The 17,412-nt window shown below is 52.6% G+C and overlaps 1 protein-coding gene and 1 long non-coding RNA gene across 2 annotated transcripts in view, besides 2 other annotated features; one reads left to right on the forward strand and one right to left on the reverse strand.

The window, feature by feature from the left end:
- EHD2 (EH domain containing 2) overlaps positions 1-16,098 on the forward strand; it is a 29,713-nt gene extending 13,615 nt beyond the window's left edge. The window contains exons 5-6 of the mRNA NM_014601.4: positions 9,333-9,497; positions 13,845-16,098. Of these exons, the coding sequence (NP_055416.2) occupies positions 9,333-9,497; positions 13,845-14,396 (717 nt within the window). The 3' untranslated portion in view covers positions 14,397-16,098. The remainder of the gene's footprint in view (positions 1-9,332; positions 9,498-13,844) is intronic.
- LOC124904733 (uncharacterized) lies at positions 1,888-2,475 on the reverse strand. Its single transcript, XR_007067279.1, has 2 exons — positions 2,377-2,475; positions 1,888-2,085 (listed from the first exon to the last, which is right to left on the reverse strand). It is a non-coding gene; the product is annotated as an uncharacterized LOC124904733 (long non-coding RNA).
- Positions 7,878-8,378: an enhancer, noted in NCBI's record as "H3K4me1 hESC enhancer chr19:48238171-48238671 (GRCh37/hg19 assembly coordinates)". NCBI's record gives its function as "activates a minimal SCP1, AML or CMV promoter by ChIP-STARR-seq in naive H9 embryonic stem cells {active_cell/tissue: H9 hESC(naive)}" and the evidence as "EXISTENCE:reporter gene assay evidence [ECO:0000049][PMID:30033119]".
- Positions 16,719-16,828: a silencer, noted in NCBI's record as "silent region_10868". NCBI's record gives its function as "represses an Ori minimal core promoter by ATAC-STARR-seq in GM12878 lymphoblastoid cells {active_cell/tissue: GM12878}" and the evidence as "EXISTENCE:reporter gene assay evidence [ECO:0000049][PMID:35858748]".

Consider the following 17,412-nt stretch of genomic DNA (forward strand, 5'->3'; position numbering starts at 1 on the left):
TAATTTATAAGATTGTGGTTCAAAGGTTTCCAAGTTCATTGGTTTATTCCACAAATATTTCTTTTTCTTCTTCTTTTCTTTTTTTGAGACGGAGTTTTGCTCTTATTGCCCAGGCTGGAGTGCAATGGCGTGATCTCGGCTCACCACAACCTCCGCCTCCTGAATTCAAGCGATTCTCCTGCCTCAGCCTCCCGAGTAGCTGGGATTACAGGCATTCACCACCATGCCCGGCTAATTGTGTATTTTTAGTAGAGTATTTTTAGTTGGTCAGGCTGGTCTTGAACTCTCAACCTCAGGTGATCCGCTCTCCTTGGCCTCCCAAAGTGCTGGGATTATAGGCGTGAGCCACCGCGCCAGGCCCACAAGTATTTCTGGAATGCTTTCTGTACACATGGTGCTGGGGCTGGGGATGGAGGGAACAGACAAGGTTCCAGCCCTCCTGGGGCTCATCTTTTTTTAAATTTAATTAATTAATTTATTTATAAGCTAGTCAAATTTAGCAGTGGGGGTGGGGAGTTGCATGCCAACTTTACTGACACTAATAAGTTCTGATAACCAAGGCCAGGTGCGGTGGCTCACGCCTGTAATCCCAACACTTTTGGAGGATTGCTTGAGCCCAGGCATTGAAGACCAGCTTGGGCAACATAGTGAGACACCATTTCTATTAAAAAAAAAAAAAAAAGTTCTGATAACCCACTACCATTGGACCAGCCCCGGGGCTTATCTTTTGATGGAGGGAGACAGAATAAGTAAACAGACATAAAATAACAATGAAGGCTGGGTGCGGTGGCTCACGCCTGTAATCCCAACACTTTGGGAGGCCGAGGGGGGAGCAGATCACTTGAGGTCAGGAGTTCGAGACCAGCCTGGTCAAGATGGTGAAACTGCGTCTCTACTAAAAATACAAAAATTAGCCAGGTGTGGTGGCGGGCACCTGTAATCCCAGCTACTTGGGAGGCTGAGGCATGAGAATCACTTGAACCCGGGAGGCAGAGGTTGCAGTGAGCTGAGATTGTACCACTGCACTCCAGCCTAGGCGACAGAACGAGACTCTGTCTCAAAATAAAAAAAAAAAAAAAGATGAATTTATTACATCTTAGGCGCTTCACAGCACCCGTCTCCCATGACTCTTGTTTGATTGTGGCCACAGATTGTCCCCTTCTCTCACTCCTTTCCTCTGTCCTCATCTCCCATTCCCTTCCCAGCGTCCCCTGCACTTCACGCTGGTGGCCTCAGTCCTGTGCACTTGCTGCTCCCTCTTCCTGGAAACCTCTTCTGCCTTCTTCCCCCTCCCACCTGGCCATCCACAAGGCTCACTCCCTCCTCACCCCTTTCAAGACTCTGCTCAAATGCTCCCTTCTCAGGAAGGCTGTCCATGCCCTCCTTTGAATGAATATAACTTCCCCCATATGCGTCCTTCTTTACCCTAACCCTGTTGTCCTTTCCTTTCCTTTCTTCTCCTCTCCTCTCCTTTCTCTCTTTCTCTGTTTCTCTTTCTCTCTTTCTTTCTCTTTCTCTTTCTTTTTCTTTCTTTCTTTTTTTTTTTTTTTGAGACAGGGTCTCCCTCTGTTGCCCAGGCTGGAGTGCAGTGGTGCGATATCAGCTCACTGCAACCTCCACCTCCCGGGTTCAAGCGATTCTCCTGCCTCAGCCTCCTGAGTAGCTGGGGTTACAGGCGTGTGCCACCACACCCAGCTAATTTTTTGTATTTTTAGTGGAGACGGGGTTTCACCATATTGGTCAGGCTGGTCTCGAACTCCCGACCTCAGGTGATCCGCCCGCCTTGGCCTCCCAAAGTGCTGGGATTACAGGCGTAAGCCACCACACCCAGCCAATCAGGGCTCTTTGAATTCCTTCACTGATTTATCCCCAGTGCCCGGAACAGAATTGGTGCTCTGTAAATATTTATTGAATGAATGACATTGAACAAACAGTTGCATTGAACAAAATCTCCTCTATGCCTGGCCTGGTGTTGGGTGGTGCAGGAGACACAACAGTGACCACGATGGTTCCAGTCCTGTCCTGCTGGGGCTCCCAGTCCTAAATAATGAAGGCAGTTCCAGGGCTCAGTCCTCACTGGGGCTCCTGGAGAGGAGACAGATCCATCCCCAGGCACCGATGACCCAGTGTGGTCAGAGCTGGGGCGGGGTAGCTGGGGCAGGCAGAGAGGGCTTCTTTGGAGGAGAGGGCATCTGAGGGGAAATGTCAGTGTTGAACCCAGTGTAGACAGTGTGCTAACTCAATTAGAGGCTGAGGATGTGGCTGAGATCAGAGGTGGTGTGGGCTGTGTCCGGGAATCTGTGCTTTGTCCCTAGGGCACTGGGGAGCCATGAAAAAGTTCGGAGCAGGGAAAGGAGATAATTAGACTCAAGCTACCTTTTGGAGGGTGGATTCAAGGCAGGAGAGTCTAGGAGCCTGGAGACCAGGCAAAAGGCTTGGAGGTTCCTGGATCAGGACAGGCCTTGGGGAGGGAGAGGAGAAAGGAGAGCGCGGGTTTCAGAGCGATTTTGGATGTCAGATGGAACTTTCTCAGGGGGAGGCTGCCAGGGTGGAGGCGGGGCAGGAAGCTGGGCAGGCAGGGAGGCCAAGAAGGTTCTAGGGGGTGGAGGAGCCTGAGGTGTTGGTTTAAGGAGCAGCGAGAGTGGGTGAGTCAGAGCCCCCACCCCCACCCCAGGAATCCTCCTTCGGAGGGAGCGGCCCACTGTGGACCAGGCTGCCACTCCTGGAACCTTCGGAATTCACCTTGCGCTCCTCTGCCCAGGCGGCTCTGCAGTGTCTCTCTCTCTCTTTTTCTGTCTCTATGTCAGTCTCCTTTCTACCTCTCTCTCAGTCTCTTTCTTCTCCATTTTTACTTTTTCTTTTATTCTAACTCCCTTTCCTTTTCTTTCTCGCTCTGCCTCCTCCTGTCTCTCCATCTCTCCCCCGCTCCGCCGCCGCCCTCTCTCTGTCTTCCTCCTGGTCTTGCTTAGACTCCCCCAGGTTCGTTCCCGCGGGTCCCTTGGCGGGAGCTGGAGCACAAGGCCCAGGGACAGAGGGGTGGGTCCGGGCCAGACACCTGGTGCCCCCGCCGGGCTGGGGGCGGCTCCGGAAACCCAGACAAACCCCGGAGTCAGGGACCCAGCCCCGGCCCAGCCCGCCCTCTCACCTTATCTCTTCCTGGCACCTTCCCCTGCTTCCTCTCTGGAAAAGCCATCAGCGCCCTCCCGCCTACCCTCCTTTGGTCCCTACGGAGCCGCCCTTCGGCCCTGCCCCCTGGCTCCATTGGCCCGCTCTCACAGGCCCCGCCCCCAGCCCGGCCACACCCCTGCCCTGATTGGTCCTTCAGACCATTAGGCACTCCCTCCCCCTCTTCCTGCAGGTTCATCCATGGCTCCCCAGTGCCGTTCAGGACACAGGAGCATGGGATTTAGGGTCCGCTGTGACCAAGGCTCACTGCCCCTCCTTTGCCCCGTGTCGCACCCCCACCCCTGCTCCTCACATATGAGTCCGCCACACTTGGTCGTCACCAACAATAGCCATACTGTTAACCTCCCCTCATGCTCTCCTCCAAAGATACCAGGCCTTCCTGGACTCTCTGGGAGGAGGCATTCACCCTCCTCCCAGTGCCTCAGTTTCCCATCTGTACGATGGAGGGTGTGGACGAATCCTCTGGCTCTAAGTCCTTTGGCTGAAGTGATAGCTGTTAGAAGGGGAGATTTTATGATGCTGTGATACGTAAGGCCAAGATCTTGGGAGGGTCTGATTCTATAGACGCCAAGATGCCCTGAACCTTCAGACCACATTCTCTGCAGTGGCCCAGTGACATTCATTCAGCAGTTGCCGATCGCATGTGGTACTCCTCTAGGCTCTGGGGATACAGCAGGGAACACAGATAAATTCCTTTTCTCATAGAATTACTTTTTAGTGGGGAAGCAAACATTAAACAAATCAATGGTTATGAAGAAAAATGAAGCGGAGGAAAGAGGGGCTGGCGAGGGACTATTTTAGAGCGCTCTGAAGGAGAGGAAGGGGTAAGAGGAAGGGGTGAGCCGAGTGGCGATCGGGTGGAAGAGCAGTCCATGCAGTGAGAACAGCATGTGCAAAGGCCCTGGGGCAGCCATGCACTTGATGTGTTTGAACTGAGAGCCTAACGGGGCTGGAGACAGGGTGGTGGTGGAAGGTGGAAGAGATGAAGATTTAGAACCAGTCAGGGACCACCAACGTTCTCAGCAGTCTAAATTTGTGATTCTTTAAAAAAAAAAAAATATATATATATATATATATATACATATATATATAATTTTTTTTTTTTTAGATGGAGTCTCTCTCTATCACCCAGGCTGGAGAGCAGTGGCATGATCTCGGCTCACTGCAACCTCTGCCTCCCAGGTTAAAGTGATTCTTGTGCCTCAGCTTTCCGAGTAGCTGGGACTCCAGGCAGGTGCCACCACACCTGGCTAATTTTTGTATTTTTAGTAGAGATGGGTTCTCACCATGTTGGCCAGGCTGGTCTCGAACTCCTGACCTCAGGTGATCCGCTGGCCTCGGCCTCCCGAAGTGTTGGGATTACAGGCATGAGCCACTGTGCCTGGCCTAAAAGAATTTTTTAACTAGTCTTTTTTATTGAACATTTAAGACCATCTCATGGAAAGGCATTCATACTTTATCAGACATGATTCTCCCACACCTCACCCCACCAGCTCCCAGGGCCTCTTTTCTAGAGGCAACCCCCATAAGTAGTTTCTTGTGTGTCTTTCCAGATATACTGCATTTTTTTTTTTTTTTTTTTTGAGACGGAGTCTCGCTCTGTCGCCTAGGCTGGAGTGCAGTGGCATGATCTCGGCTCACTGCAAGCTCCGCCTCCCGGGTTCACGCCATTCTCCTGCCTCAGCCTCCCGAGTAGCTGGGACTACAGGTGCCTGCCACCACGCCTGGCTAATTTTTTGTATTTTTAGTAGAGGCGGGGTTTCACTGTGTTAGCCAGGATGGTCTCGATCTCCTGACCTCATGATCCGCCTGCCTCTGCCTCCCAAAGTGCTGGGATTACAGGCGTGATATACTGTAATCACGCCCGGCCAATATACTGCATTTTGTAAAAGCATTTATTTATTATTATTTTGTTTTGAGACTGAGTCTCACTCTGTCGCCCAGGCTGGTGCAATGGCACGGTCTCAGCTCACTGCAACCTCCACCTCCCAGGTTCAAGTGATTCTCCTGCCTCAGCTTCCCATGTAGCTTGGATTATAGGTGGGCACCATCAGCCCGGCTAATTTTTGTATTTTTAGTAGAGATAGCATTTCACCATGTTGTCCAGGCTGGTCTCTAACTCCTGACCTCAGGTGATCGACCCGCTTCAGCCTCCCAAAGTGCTGGGATTACAGGCGTGAGCCACCGCGCCTGGCCTATTTATTCATTTTTTTAGAGACAAAGGCTCGCTGTGTCGCCCAGACTGGAGTGCAGTGGCGACATCATAGCTCACTTCAGTCTCAAACCTCTGGGCTCAAGTGATCCTCCCTCCTCAGCCCCGGCAATTCACTGGGACTATAGGCGCGCGCCAGTACACCCAACTAGTTTTAAAATTTTTTTTTAGAGACCAAGTCTTGCTATGTTGCCCAGGCTGGTCTCGAACTTCTGGCCTCAAGTGATCCTCCCCCCTTGGCTTCCCAAAGTGCTGGGATTATAGGCATGAGCAATATTTAATTTGTGAGCTTCCTATAAAATATAGACATACCAATATTCATTATTCTGCTCTCCTTGTTTATTTTTCGATAATTTATAAGATTGTGGACCAGGTGTGGTGGCTCACACCTGTAATCCCAGCACTTTGGGGGACCAATGTGGGCGGATCATCTGAGATCAGGAGTTCAAGACCAGCCTGACCAACATGGAGAAATCCCATCTCTACTAAAAATATAAAATTAGCTGGGCATGGTGGTGCATGCCTGTGATCCCAGCTACTCAGGAGGCTGAGGCAGGAGAATCGCTTGAACCCAGGAGGCAGAGGTTGCAGTGAGACAAGATCGCACCACTGCACTCCAGCCTGGGCAACAGAGTGAAACCCCATCTCAAAAAAAAAATAAAAAATAAAAAATAAAAAGATTGTGTTTCAAAGGTTCTCAAGTTCATTGGTTTATTCCACAAATATTTCCTGAGTGTTTTCTGTACAGATTGTACTGGTGCTGGAGATGGAGGGAACAGACAAGTTTCCAGCCCTTCTGGGGCTCCTTTTTTTTTTTTTGAGACAGTGTCTTGCTCTGTCACCCAGGCTGGAGTGCAGTGGTATGATCATGGCTCACTGTAGCCTTGACCTCCCCGGCTTCAGTGATCCTCCCATCTCAGCCTCTTGAGAAGAGAAGATTAATAAATCAAGACATTAGGCCAGGCGCGGTGGTTCATGCCTATAATCTCAGCACTTTGGAAGACTGAGGCGGGCGGATCACAAGGTCAAGAGATCGAGACCATCCTGGCCAACATGGTGGAACCCAGTCTCTACTAAAAATACAAAAATTATCATGGTGGCGGGCGCCTGTAGTCCCAGCTACTTGGGAGGCTGAGGCAGGAGAATGGCGTGAACCCGGGAGGTGGAGCTTGCAGTGAGCCGAGATTGAGCCACTGCACTCCAGCCTGGGCGGCAGAGTGAGACTCTGTCTCAAAAAATAAATAAATAAATAAATAAATAAAGTCATTATTTGCACCACTGCACTCCAGTCTGGGTGACAGAGCAAGACTCTGTCTCAAAAAAAAAAAAAAAAAAAAAAAATCCACTGTCCATTTGGGAGAAAAAAAGAGTGAAGAAAGCAAAAAGCGAATAACGTCTTAGTATTGTTCTTAAAATAATTTTGACCACAGGAACCCCCGAAAGGATCTTGAGGACCCCTGGGTTTCCCTGGACCACACTTCGTGAATTGCTGCTGTAGGGCTTTGTCGGCTTCGGTAGAAATTTTGAACTTCAATAAGCAAATAGAGAGTTATGAGCAGCATCCCCTGGGCTCATGTTCCTTCCTGAAAAATGCCCTCTTGGGCCACTGCTGCATGGAGCAAGGGTTATTGGGGCAGGATGGGGAGCTGGGAGACCTGTCGGGCCACCTTGGGTGTCTCCCCAGGCAAGAGAGGATGACGCTCGAATGGACATGGTGGCCACTGAGGTGGAGAGAAATGAGAAGCAGGGGAGAGGCTGGGCGTAGTAGCGGGTGCCTGTAGTCCCAGCTACTCAGGAGGCTGAGGTGGGAGGATGGATTGAGCTGGGAAGGTGGAGGTTGCACTGAGCCGAGATTGTGCCACTGCACTCCAGCCTGGGGGACAGAGCCAGACCCTGTCTAAAAAAAGCAAAAAAGAAAAGGAAAGTAGGGGAGAGAGGGAGAGACATAGGAGGAGGCAAAAGGGACTCATTGATAGGTTGGATGTGGCTACTTAACAGGAGGAAGAATCAAATATCAAATCAATAATGATTTCAAGAGCTGGGTACCGTGGCTCCCGCCTGTAATCCAGCACTTTGGGAGGCTGAGGCAGGCAGATCATTTGAGGTCAGGAGTTTGAGACCAGCCTGGCCAACATGGTGAAAACCCCTCTCTACTAAAAATACAAAAATTAGTGGTGGCGGGCACCTGTAATCCCAGCTACTCGAGAGGTAGAGGCAGGAGGATTGCTTGAACCCAGGAAGTGGAGGTTGCAGTGAGCCAAGATCATGCCATTGCACTCCACCCTGGGCAACAGAGTGAGACTCCCTTTCAAAAAGAAAAAAAAAGTGATTTCTAGAGCCGGACGGGGTGGCTCCCGCCTGTCATCCCAGCACTTTGGGAGGCCGAGGCGGGTGGATCTCTTGAGGTCAGGGGTTCGAGACCAGTCTGGCCAACATGGTGAAAGCCAGTCTCTACTAAACATACAAAAATTGACCAGGCATGGTGGCACGTGCCTGTAATCCCAGCTACTCGGGAGGCCAGGGCAGGAGGATTGCTTGAACCCGGAGGTGGAGGTTGCAGTGAGACAAGGTTGCGCCACTGTCCTCCAGCCTGGGTGACAGAGTGAGTGAGACTCCGTCTCAAAATAAATAAATAAATAAAAATAAAATTTCTAGATTTCTGGCCTCAACTGGGAAGGCAGGGCTGGGGATGCCCTTTTCAGAGATGGGCACAGCTGAGGGCGACACAGCTCTGAGGGCTAGGCTCAAATTCCACTTAGGGCATCCTGGTATGGAGCTATCCAGGAATGTTGACAGGGCAATTAGCTCTGAGTCCTGAGCTGGAGGGAGAGGCTTAGGCTGGTATGCAGATTCGGGAGTGGACCTCTTGGAGGGGTGTTTAAAACTGGGAGGGACTCAGCTCACTTAGTTAGCAGAGAGGAGGAGCCCAGGGTGAGCCCCAGCAGGAGGAGGCCATGAGGCTCACAGTGTGGCACCTCCGCCTGCAGCACCTGTAACTTGTCAGAAATGCAAATTCCCATCTGGGCAGTGGCTCTTGCCTGTAATCCCAGCTACTTGAGAGGCTGAGGCGGGAGGATCCCTTGAGCCCAGGAATTTGAGGCTGCAGTAAGTTATGATCGCACCACTGCACTCCTGGCTGGGTGATAGAGCGAGACCCTGTCTCCAAAAAAAAAAGAAAAAAAAGCAGGCCAGGCGCGGTGGCTCATGCCTGTAATCCCAGCACTTTGGGAGGCCACGGCGGGTGGATCACCTGAGATTAGGAGTTCAAGACCAGCCTGGCCAACATGGAGAAACCCCGTTTCTATTAAAAATACAAAAAAATTAGCCGGGTGTGGTGGCGCATGCCTGTTAATCCCAACTACTTGGGAGGCTGAGGCAGAAGAATTGCTTGAACCCAGGAGTTGGAGGTTGCAGCGAGCTGATTGCACCACTGCACTCCAGCCTGGGCAACAGAGCGAGACTCTGTCTCGAAAAAAAAAAAGACTGGGCACGGTGGCTCACACCTGTAATCCCAGCACTTTGGGAGGCCAAGGTGGGCAGATCACGAGGTCAGGAGTTTGAGACCAGCCTGACCAGCATGGTGAAACCCCATCTTTACTAAAAATACAAAAATTAGCTGGGCATAGTGGCGCATGCCTGTAATCCCAGCTACTCAGGAGCCTGAGACAGGAGAATTGCTTGAAGCCGGGAGGCGGAGGTTGCAGTGAGCCGAGATTGTGCTACTGCACTCCAGCCTCGGTGACAGAGCGAGACTCCGTCTCAAAGAAAAAAAAAGAGAGAGAGAGAGAGAAAAAGAAATAAAAGAAATACAAATTCTCATGCCCCAGCCCAGACCAAGTAAATCAGAATCTCTGGGAGTGGGGCCTGCAGCCTGTGTTTTAACAAGCTCCCTGGTGGACCCTGATGCAGGCTGAGGTGAGAACCCTTCCCACAGGTTCACGCTTACATCATCAGCTACCTGAAGAAGGAGATGCCCTCTGTGTTTGGGAAGGAGAACAAGAAGAAGCAGCTGATCCTCAAACTGCCCGTCATCTTTGCGAAGATTCAGCTGGAACATCACATCTCCCCTGGGGACTTTCCTGATTGCCAGAAAATGCAGGTGGGAAGCTGCCCAGGAGGGAATGTTGGGGGTGGGTGATGGGAAGGTTGGTTTCTGGAAGCTCTGAGATGGGACCTCAAAAGCCAGAGGGATGGATGGCAGGTTCTGGAAAGCGCCTCCCTCAAATAGTTCCGTGGGAGCATGGTTTTATGAGTCAGGCTAGGGGAGTGAAGAGAAAACCCAAAATAACAGTGGCTAAATTAAGATAGAGAGTTTTTCTTTCTTTCCTCCATAAAAAGTCCCAGAAAGTGATCCAGGACTGGTTTGGTGCTTTACAGAGCCAGGGATCTAGTCCCCTTCTGTCTTATTTCTCTTCCATGCCTGGCCTCCAGGCCCAAGGAACTTCATGGTACAAAAGGGCTGTGAAGGCTCCAGCCATTGTGTCTGCGTTCCAGCCAGCAAGAAGTTGGGAAGGGGGCCAGGCATGGTGGCTCACGCCTGTAATCCCAGCACTTTGGGAGGCCGAGGCGGGCGGATCACGAGGTCAGCAGATCAAGACCATCCTGGCTAACACGGTGAAACCCCGTCTCTACTAAAAATACAAAAAATTAGCTGGGTGTGGTGGTGGGCGCCTGTAGTCCCAGCTACTCGGGAGGCTGAGGCAGGAGAATGGTGTGAACCCGGGAGGCGGAGCTTGCACTGAGCCAAGATAGCGCCACTTTACTCCGGCCTAGGCAAAAAGAGCGAGACTCCGTCTCAAAAAAAAAAAAAAAAAGAAAAGGAAGTTGGGAAGGGGAAGAAAAGAGTAGTCTCTTTAAGAACACTGTTTATTTTATTTTCATTTATTTATTTGAGACTTAAATATTTATATTTGTAAAATATAAATATTTAAAATATACACAGCTGGGTGCAGTGGCTCATGCCTGTAATCCCAGCACTGTGGGAGGCCAAGGCGGGTGGATCACCTGAGGTCAGGAGTTCGAGACCAGCCTGGCCAACATGGTGAAACCCCGTCTGTACTAAAAATACAAAAATTAGCTGGGCATGGTGTTGCGTGCCTGTAGTCCCAGCTACTGGGGAGGCCGAGGCAGGAGAATCCCTTGAACCCGGGAGGCAGAGGTTGCAGTGAGCTGAGATCACACCACTGCAATCCAGCCTGTGTGACCGAGTAAGATTCTGTCTCAATAAATAAATAAATAAAATAAAATATATACGTTTAAAAATTTATTTATATATTTTTTAGAGATTTATTTATATATTTTTCAGAGACTCTGTTGTCCAGGCTGGAGTGCAATGGGGTGATCATAGCTCACTGTGTACTTGAACTCCTGGGCTCAAAGGTCCTTCTGCCTAGCCTCTAGAGTAGCTGGGACTACAGGCACATGCCACCATGCCTGGCTAGCTTTTTTTTTTTTTTTTTTTTTTGAGACAGAGTCTCACTCTGTCACCCAGACCGAACTGCAGAGGCGTGATCTTGGCTCACTGCAACCTCTGCCTCCTGGGTTCAAGCAGTTATCTCACCTCAGCCTCCCAAGTAGCTGGGCCTGCAGGCATGTGCCACCACGTACAGATAATTTTTCATACTTTTAGTAGAGATGGGGTTTTGTCATGTTGGCCAGGCTGGTCTCGAACTCCTGGCCTCAAGTGATCCTCCTGCCTTGGCCTCCCAAAGTGCTGGGATTATAGGCAGGAGCCACCATGCCTGACCAAGAACACTTTCTAGAACAGAGCTGTCCAGCAGTACGTTCTACAATGATGGAAATGTTTCATTCTGCACTGTCCAGTATGGTAGCCACTAGCCACATTCAAATGGAATGTTAACGTGTATTTCTTTTTTCTTTTTTTTTGAGATGGAGTCTTGCTCTGTTGCCCAGGTTGGAATGCAGTGGCAAGATCTTGACTCACTACAACCTCTGCCTCCCGGGTTCAAGCAATTATCCTGCCTCAGCCTCCCAAGTAGCTGAGATTACAGGCATCCGCCACCACGCCCAGCTAATTTTGTATTTTTGGTAGAGATGGGGTTTCACCATGTTGTCCAGGCTGGTCTCAAACTCCTGACTTCAGGTGATCCTCCTGCCTTAGCCTCCCAAAGTGCTGGGATTGCAGGCATGAGCCACTGCGCCCGGCCTGTATTTCATTTTAATTAATGTAAATAAGCACATGTGGCTAGTGGCTGCCATACTGGACAGGCTAACAGTAGAAGCTGCACATGCAACCTGTGCTTGCCTCAGTGGACTTGAACTTAGTCATACTCTGGCTGCCAGGGAATCCAGGTTGCAACCTAGGATCCCCAACCCTTCAGAGTCGTGATCAGCTGGCCTCTCTGCCTTGGCTCAGGAAATTCACATAGGGCTGTGAAAGGAATCCATTTTCGCAGAGACTGTCCTGGTGCAGTCTGGGCCACTTAGAGTAGCCCGTGTGAGAAGCAGTGTGACGCCAAGTCCACCCCTACACCCCAAAGTGACTTCTTCGGTGGGGAGGGGGTGGTCCCAGGAACCCCTGATGATCTGATCATCTCAAATCTCACCTCCAAATTTGGCAGCCAGCCACTCAGTCCTTTCTGTGTGGTGTGGTAGCACTGTGACAGGAATTAAGCTTTCTTAACTTTCTTTTTTCTCTCCCCCCCTGCACACTTTTTTGTTTTGAGACAGGGTCTTGCTCTGTCACCCAGGCTGGAGTACAGTGTGGTGCTATCTTCGCTCACTGCAACCTCTGTCTCCTGGGGTTCAAGAGATTCTGTCTCAGCCTCCCAAAGTAGTTGGGACTGCAGGCGTGCACCACCACACCTGGCTAATTTTTAATTTTTTTTTTTTTTTTTTTTTTTTTTTAAGAAATAGGGTTTTGAGGCCAGGTGCAGTGGCTCATGCCTGTAATCCCAGCACTTTGGGAGGCCGAGGTGGGCAGATTGCCTGAGGTCAGGAGTTCGAGACCAGCCTGGCCAACATGGCGAAACCCCATCTCTACTAAAAATATGAAAATCAGCTGGGCATGGTGGTAGGCGCCTGTAATCCCAGCTACTTGGGAGTCTGAGCCAGGAGAATCGCTTGAACCCATGAGACGGAGGTTGCGGTGAGCTGAGATCGCGCCATTGCACTCCAGCCTGGGTGACAGAGCGAAACTCGTCAAAAAAAAAAAAAAAAAAAGGAAAGAAAAGAAAAGAAATAGGGTTTTGCCATGTTGTCCAGGCTGGTCTTGCACTCCTGGGCTCAAGTGATTCTCCCACCTCAGCCTCCCAAAGTGCTGGGATTACAAGTGTGAGCCACCCAAGCCTGCTGAGTTTTTTTTTTTTTAACTTTTAATGTTGTACGTGCTGGCTGGGCAGCTGGAGTTGGGTAGAGGGCGGTTAGGGTTCTAGGCTGGTGTGGATGCTCTGAGAAAGCTATACTTGATGCGAAAATATTGAAATCCTTCTCTGCTAGCTGGCAAAGGGCCGCTGCTCTCACTCATCAGAGGGGCCCCAGCCTCCCCACCCTCCAGTAATTCTGGGGCACAGGAGAAAGCCTCTGGGACCTTGTTGCCCAAGTATCTTCTCATTGGTGGGTGCCCGAGCGGAACAGGTTGTTCAGATGTTCAAATACTTCTGCATGTGTCAGTAAAGAGCTGCCACTCTGGCTGGGTACAGTGGCTCACACCTGCAATCCCAGCACTTTAGGAGGTTGCGGTGGGAGGATGGCTTGAGCTCAGGAGTTCGAGACCAGCCTGGGCAACATAGCAAGACTTGGTCTCTACAAAAAATTTTTAAAACTAGTTGGGCGTAGTGGCGCACACCTATAGTCCCAGCGAATTGCGGGGGCTGAGGAGGGAGGATCACAAAAATTTAGCTGGGTGGGTGGTGTGTGCCTGTGGTCCCAGCTACTTGGGAGACTGAGGCCAGAGGATCGTTTGAGGCTGGGAGTTGGAAGCTGCAGTGAGCTATGTTGGCACCACTGCACTCTAGCCTAAGTGACAGAGCGAGACCCTGTCAAAAAAAAACAAAACAAAACAAAACAAAAATGGCTGGGCGCGGTGGCTCATGCCTGTAATCCCAGCATTGGGAGGCTGAGGCGGGCGAATCATGAGGTCAGGAGTTCGAGACCAGCCTGGCCAACATGGTGAAACGCTGTCTCTATTAAAATTACAAAAATTAGCTGGGCATGGTGGCGCATGCCTGTAATCCCAGCTACTTGGGAGGCTGAGGCAGGAGAATCGCTTGAAACCGGAAGGCGGACGTTGCAGTGAGCCGAGATTGTGCCATTTGCACTCCAGCCTGGGCAACAAGAGCAAGACTCTGTCTCAAAACAAACAACAGTAAAAAAACCCCACAACAGCTACCCCCGAGCTTCTCCAGTGTCCTGATACCACCTTGCAGCCTGAGGGCCTCAGGGATGGCGCCGCTTGAATTCTGGGTGCCCCTGTCCCCCACCACAGGAGCTGCTGATGGCGCACGACTTCACCAAGTTTCACTCGCTGAAGCCGAAGCTGCTAGAGGCACTGGACGAGATGCTGACGCACGACATCGCCAAGCTCATGCCCCTGCTGCGGCAGGAGGAGCTGGAGAGCACCGAGGTGGGCGTGCAGGGGGGCGCTTTTGAGGGCACCCACATGGGCCCGTTTGTGGAGCGGGGACCTGACGAGGCCATGGAGGACGGCGAGGAGGGCTCGGACGACGAGGCCGAGTGGGTGGTGACCAAGGACAAGTCCAAATACGACGAGATCTTCTACAACCTGGCGCCTGCCGACGGCAAGCTGAGCGGCTCCAAGGCCAAGACCTGGATGGTGGGGACCAAGCTCCCCAACTCAGTGCTGGGGCGCATCTGGAAGCTCAGCGATGTGGACCGCGACGGCATGCTGGATGATGAGGAGTTCGCGCTGGCCAGCCACCTCATCGAGGCCAAGCTGGAAGGCCACGGGCTGCCCGCCAACCTGCCCCGTCGCCTGGTGCCACCCTCCAAGCGACGCCACAAGGGCTCCGCCGAGTGAGCCGGCCCCCCTCCCATGGCCCTGCTGTGGCTCCCCAGCTCCAGTCGGCTGCACGCACACCCCTGCTCCGGCTCACACACGCCCTGCCTGCCCTCCCTGCCCAGCTGTAAGGACCGGGGGTCTCCCTCCTCACTACCGCCAGACACCCCGGTGGAAGCATTTAGAGGGGACCACGGGAGGGACAAGGCTTCTCTGTCCGCCCTTCACACCTCCAGCCTCACGTTCACTTAGGCACATCACACACACACTGGCACACGCAGGCATCCATCCATCCGTCATTCATTCAAATATTTATTGAGCACCTACTATGTGCCCAGCCCTGTTCTAGGCACTGGGCATTACCATAGAGAACAAAATAGACAAATACATCTGCCCTCATGGAAGGTGACGTTCCCAGGAGAGGGCACCTACACAGTCACGCAAACACACACTAATTCCTGGCAGGGCCCCCAGCCCCTCCCCTGGCTGAGCAGCCCTGTGGCTGAAATGACTAGCAGATAAACAGACCCCCTTCTGCTCCGCTTCCTCCTGCCCAGCCAGGCAACACCCTCAACCGGCTCCATCACATCCTCAGGTCTCGGGACCATGGGGGGCTCAGAGGGGAGACACACCTACTGCTTCCTCAGATGGGCCCCTCCGCAGCCCCTTCCCTTGCTCGGGGAAAGCCCCCAATTCTGCCCACACCCATTTATTTCCTTCCTTCCTTCCTTCTTTTCTTTCCTTCCTTCCTTCTTTTTTGTTTTTGCCCCCAATTCTGCCCATACCCATTTCTTTCTTTCCTTCCTTCCTTCTTTTTTGTTTTTGCCCCCAGTTCTGTCCACACCCCTTCCCTTTCCTGTCCTGTCCTTTCTTTCTTTTTTGATAGAATCTTGCTCTGTCGCCCAGGCTGGAGTGCAGTGGTGAGATCTCAGCTCACTGCAACCTCCACCTCCTGGGTTGAAGTGATTCTCGTGCCTCAGCCTCCTGAGTAGCTGGGACTGCAGGCACGCGCCACCACGCCCAGCTAATTTTTGTATTTGAGTAGAGACGGGGTTTCACCATGTTGGCCAGGCTGGTCTCGAACTCCGCATCTCAGGTGATCTGCTCGCCTTGGCCTCCCAAAGTGATGGGATTACAGGCATGAGCCACCGTGCCCGGCTTCACACCCATTTCTTTAAAAAGGATCCCGTAGCAGGCAGAAAAGCCCCTTCCATCCTGCTCCTCTGATACTGTGCCCCCTTGGAGATATTTCCGTCCTCCACCCACGTGTCTGTGGCTGGAACTGCCCAGCCTGCTCCTGGCCCCCTGGAAGCCTCCCCACAGCTGGTAATCTGGACTTAAGGATTGCTGGGCCACCGCCTCTCTGCCTACCACCATTCCATATTTAAGTGGAGCCCCTACGTAGAAAGGCCCCGGGGCTTTATTTTAGTCTCCTTTTCAGGGATGTCGTGGGCGGGGGAGGGGGTTCTTGGTGCTACAGCCCTCTCCCCACCCCTAAAGGGACGCCGACGCTGTTTGCTGCCTTCACCACATATTAGTGCTTGACCCTGGCAGGGGACCCCATGGAAAAGATGGGGAAGAGCAAAATACATGGAGACGACGCACCCTCCAGGATGCTCGCTGGGATTCCCACGCCCACCACTGTCCCCCACCCCATGGCTGGGAGGGGCCTCTGAACGGAACAGTGTCCCCACAGAGCGAATAAAGCCAAGGCTTCTTCCCATGTGGCAGTGAGGCTGGCTTGGGACAGGGATCGCCCGCCCTCCCCCAGGGAAAGAGAGACCTGGGCAGGATTTGGGGTGGGGGGAGGCCCCCTTCCGTGCTCTCAGGGGCGGGGTGGAGTCCGTGACTCAATGCAGCGAGGCCTGGTGACTCAGGCCTGGGCTGGGGGCCAGAACGGCATATTTTCCGAGGAAAAGTGACTCTGGGGCCCTCCCCCCGGGACATCCCTTCCTCCCACCTCCCGCGGCGGGGGCCTGGGAACCAAGCCCTGGGGCGCGCGCGGGGTGTGTGTGTGTGTGTGTGTGTGTGTGTGTGTGTGTGTGTATTCGGGCACGAAGTGCTCTCCCAGCTCCCGCCCTGCCCGGCAACGTGCCCTTGCACAACCTGGGTACATAACTCCCGACGCGTAACACCAGGAACACGCTGGTTTCTGGTTGGGGAAGTGGTGACCTTGCCCACACGGGCTGCCAGGAGTGTGCGCGCGCTCACGCACCGGGGACTCTTGGCCAGAGCTGGGCAGCGCACCGTGCGCGCCGAGTCCCGCGCACTCACATCCAGGCCACACCCACGGCGTCCCGGGACACGCTGGCCGCGCACTCATCCCGCCCACGCGGGCCCAGTTTCGCGGCTCGCGGCGCCCCCTGGCGGACGCTCAGAAAACAGATAGGCTGTGGTCGCCAAAATCCCTGCCCAGGTGATTCGGCGCTCAGGTCTCGGGGCTGCGATCCAGGGCCTGTCACCTTTAGGGCCTGTCACCTTTCCAACGCTCTGCGCAAGGATCCAGTTGAATTTCGCTGTGTGACCATGCGTGTGTCGCCTGCCCTCTCTGTGCCTTTTTCCTTTATGAGTCCAGAGTGGCTTTTATGAGGCCTGGATTCCTTTGATTTGATTGTTTTGTTTTTGAGACAGGGTCTTGCTCTGTCACCCAGGCTGGAGTGCAATGGTGCAATCACGGCTCACTGCACCCTCCAACTCCTGGGCTCAAGCGATCCTCCCACCTCAGCCTCCCGAGTACCTGGGACTACAGGCGCACACCATCACGCCTGGCTAATTTTTAAATTTTTGGCAGACACAGGATCTCACTATGTTGCCCAGGCTGGTCTTGAATTCCTGGGCTCAAGCGATCCTCCTGCATCGGCCTCCCAAAGTGCTGGGATTAGAGGCGTGAATCACCACGCCCTGCCATGGATCCCTTTGAATGGCTGCCAGGGCCCAAGAGCCTCTGAGCTTCCTTCCTTATTTGTAAATGACAAAGATGAGTTGATTCTAAGATGAAGCCTCAGAGGGCAAGGCAGTAACAATAGCTAACACTCAG

This window comes from Homo sapiens, chromosome 19 (assembly GCF_000001405.40).
Source record: "Homo sapiens chromosome 19, GRCh38.p14 Primary Assembly".
Taxonomy (NCBI): Eukaryota; Metazoa; Chordata; class Mammalia; order Primates; family Hominidae; genus Homo; species Homo sapiens.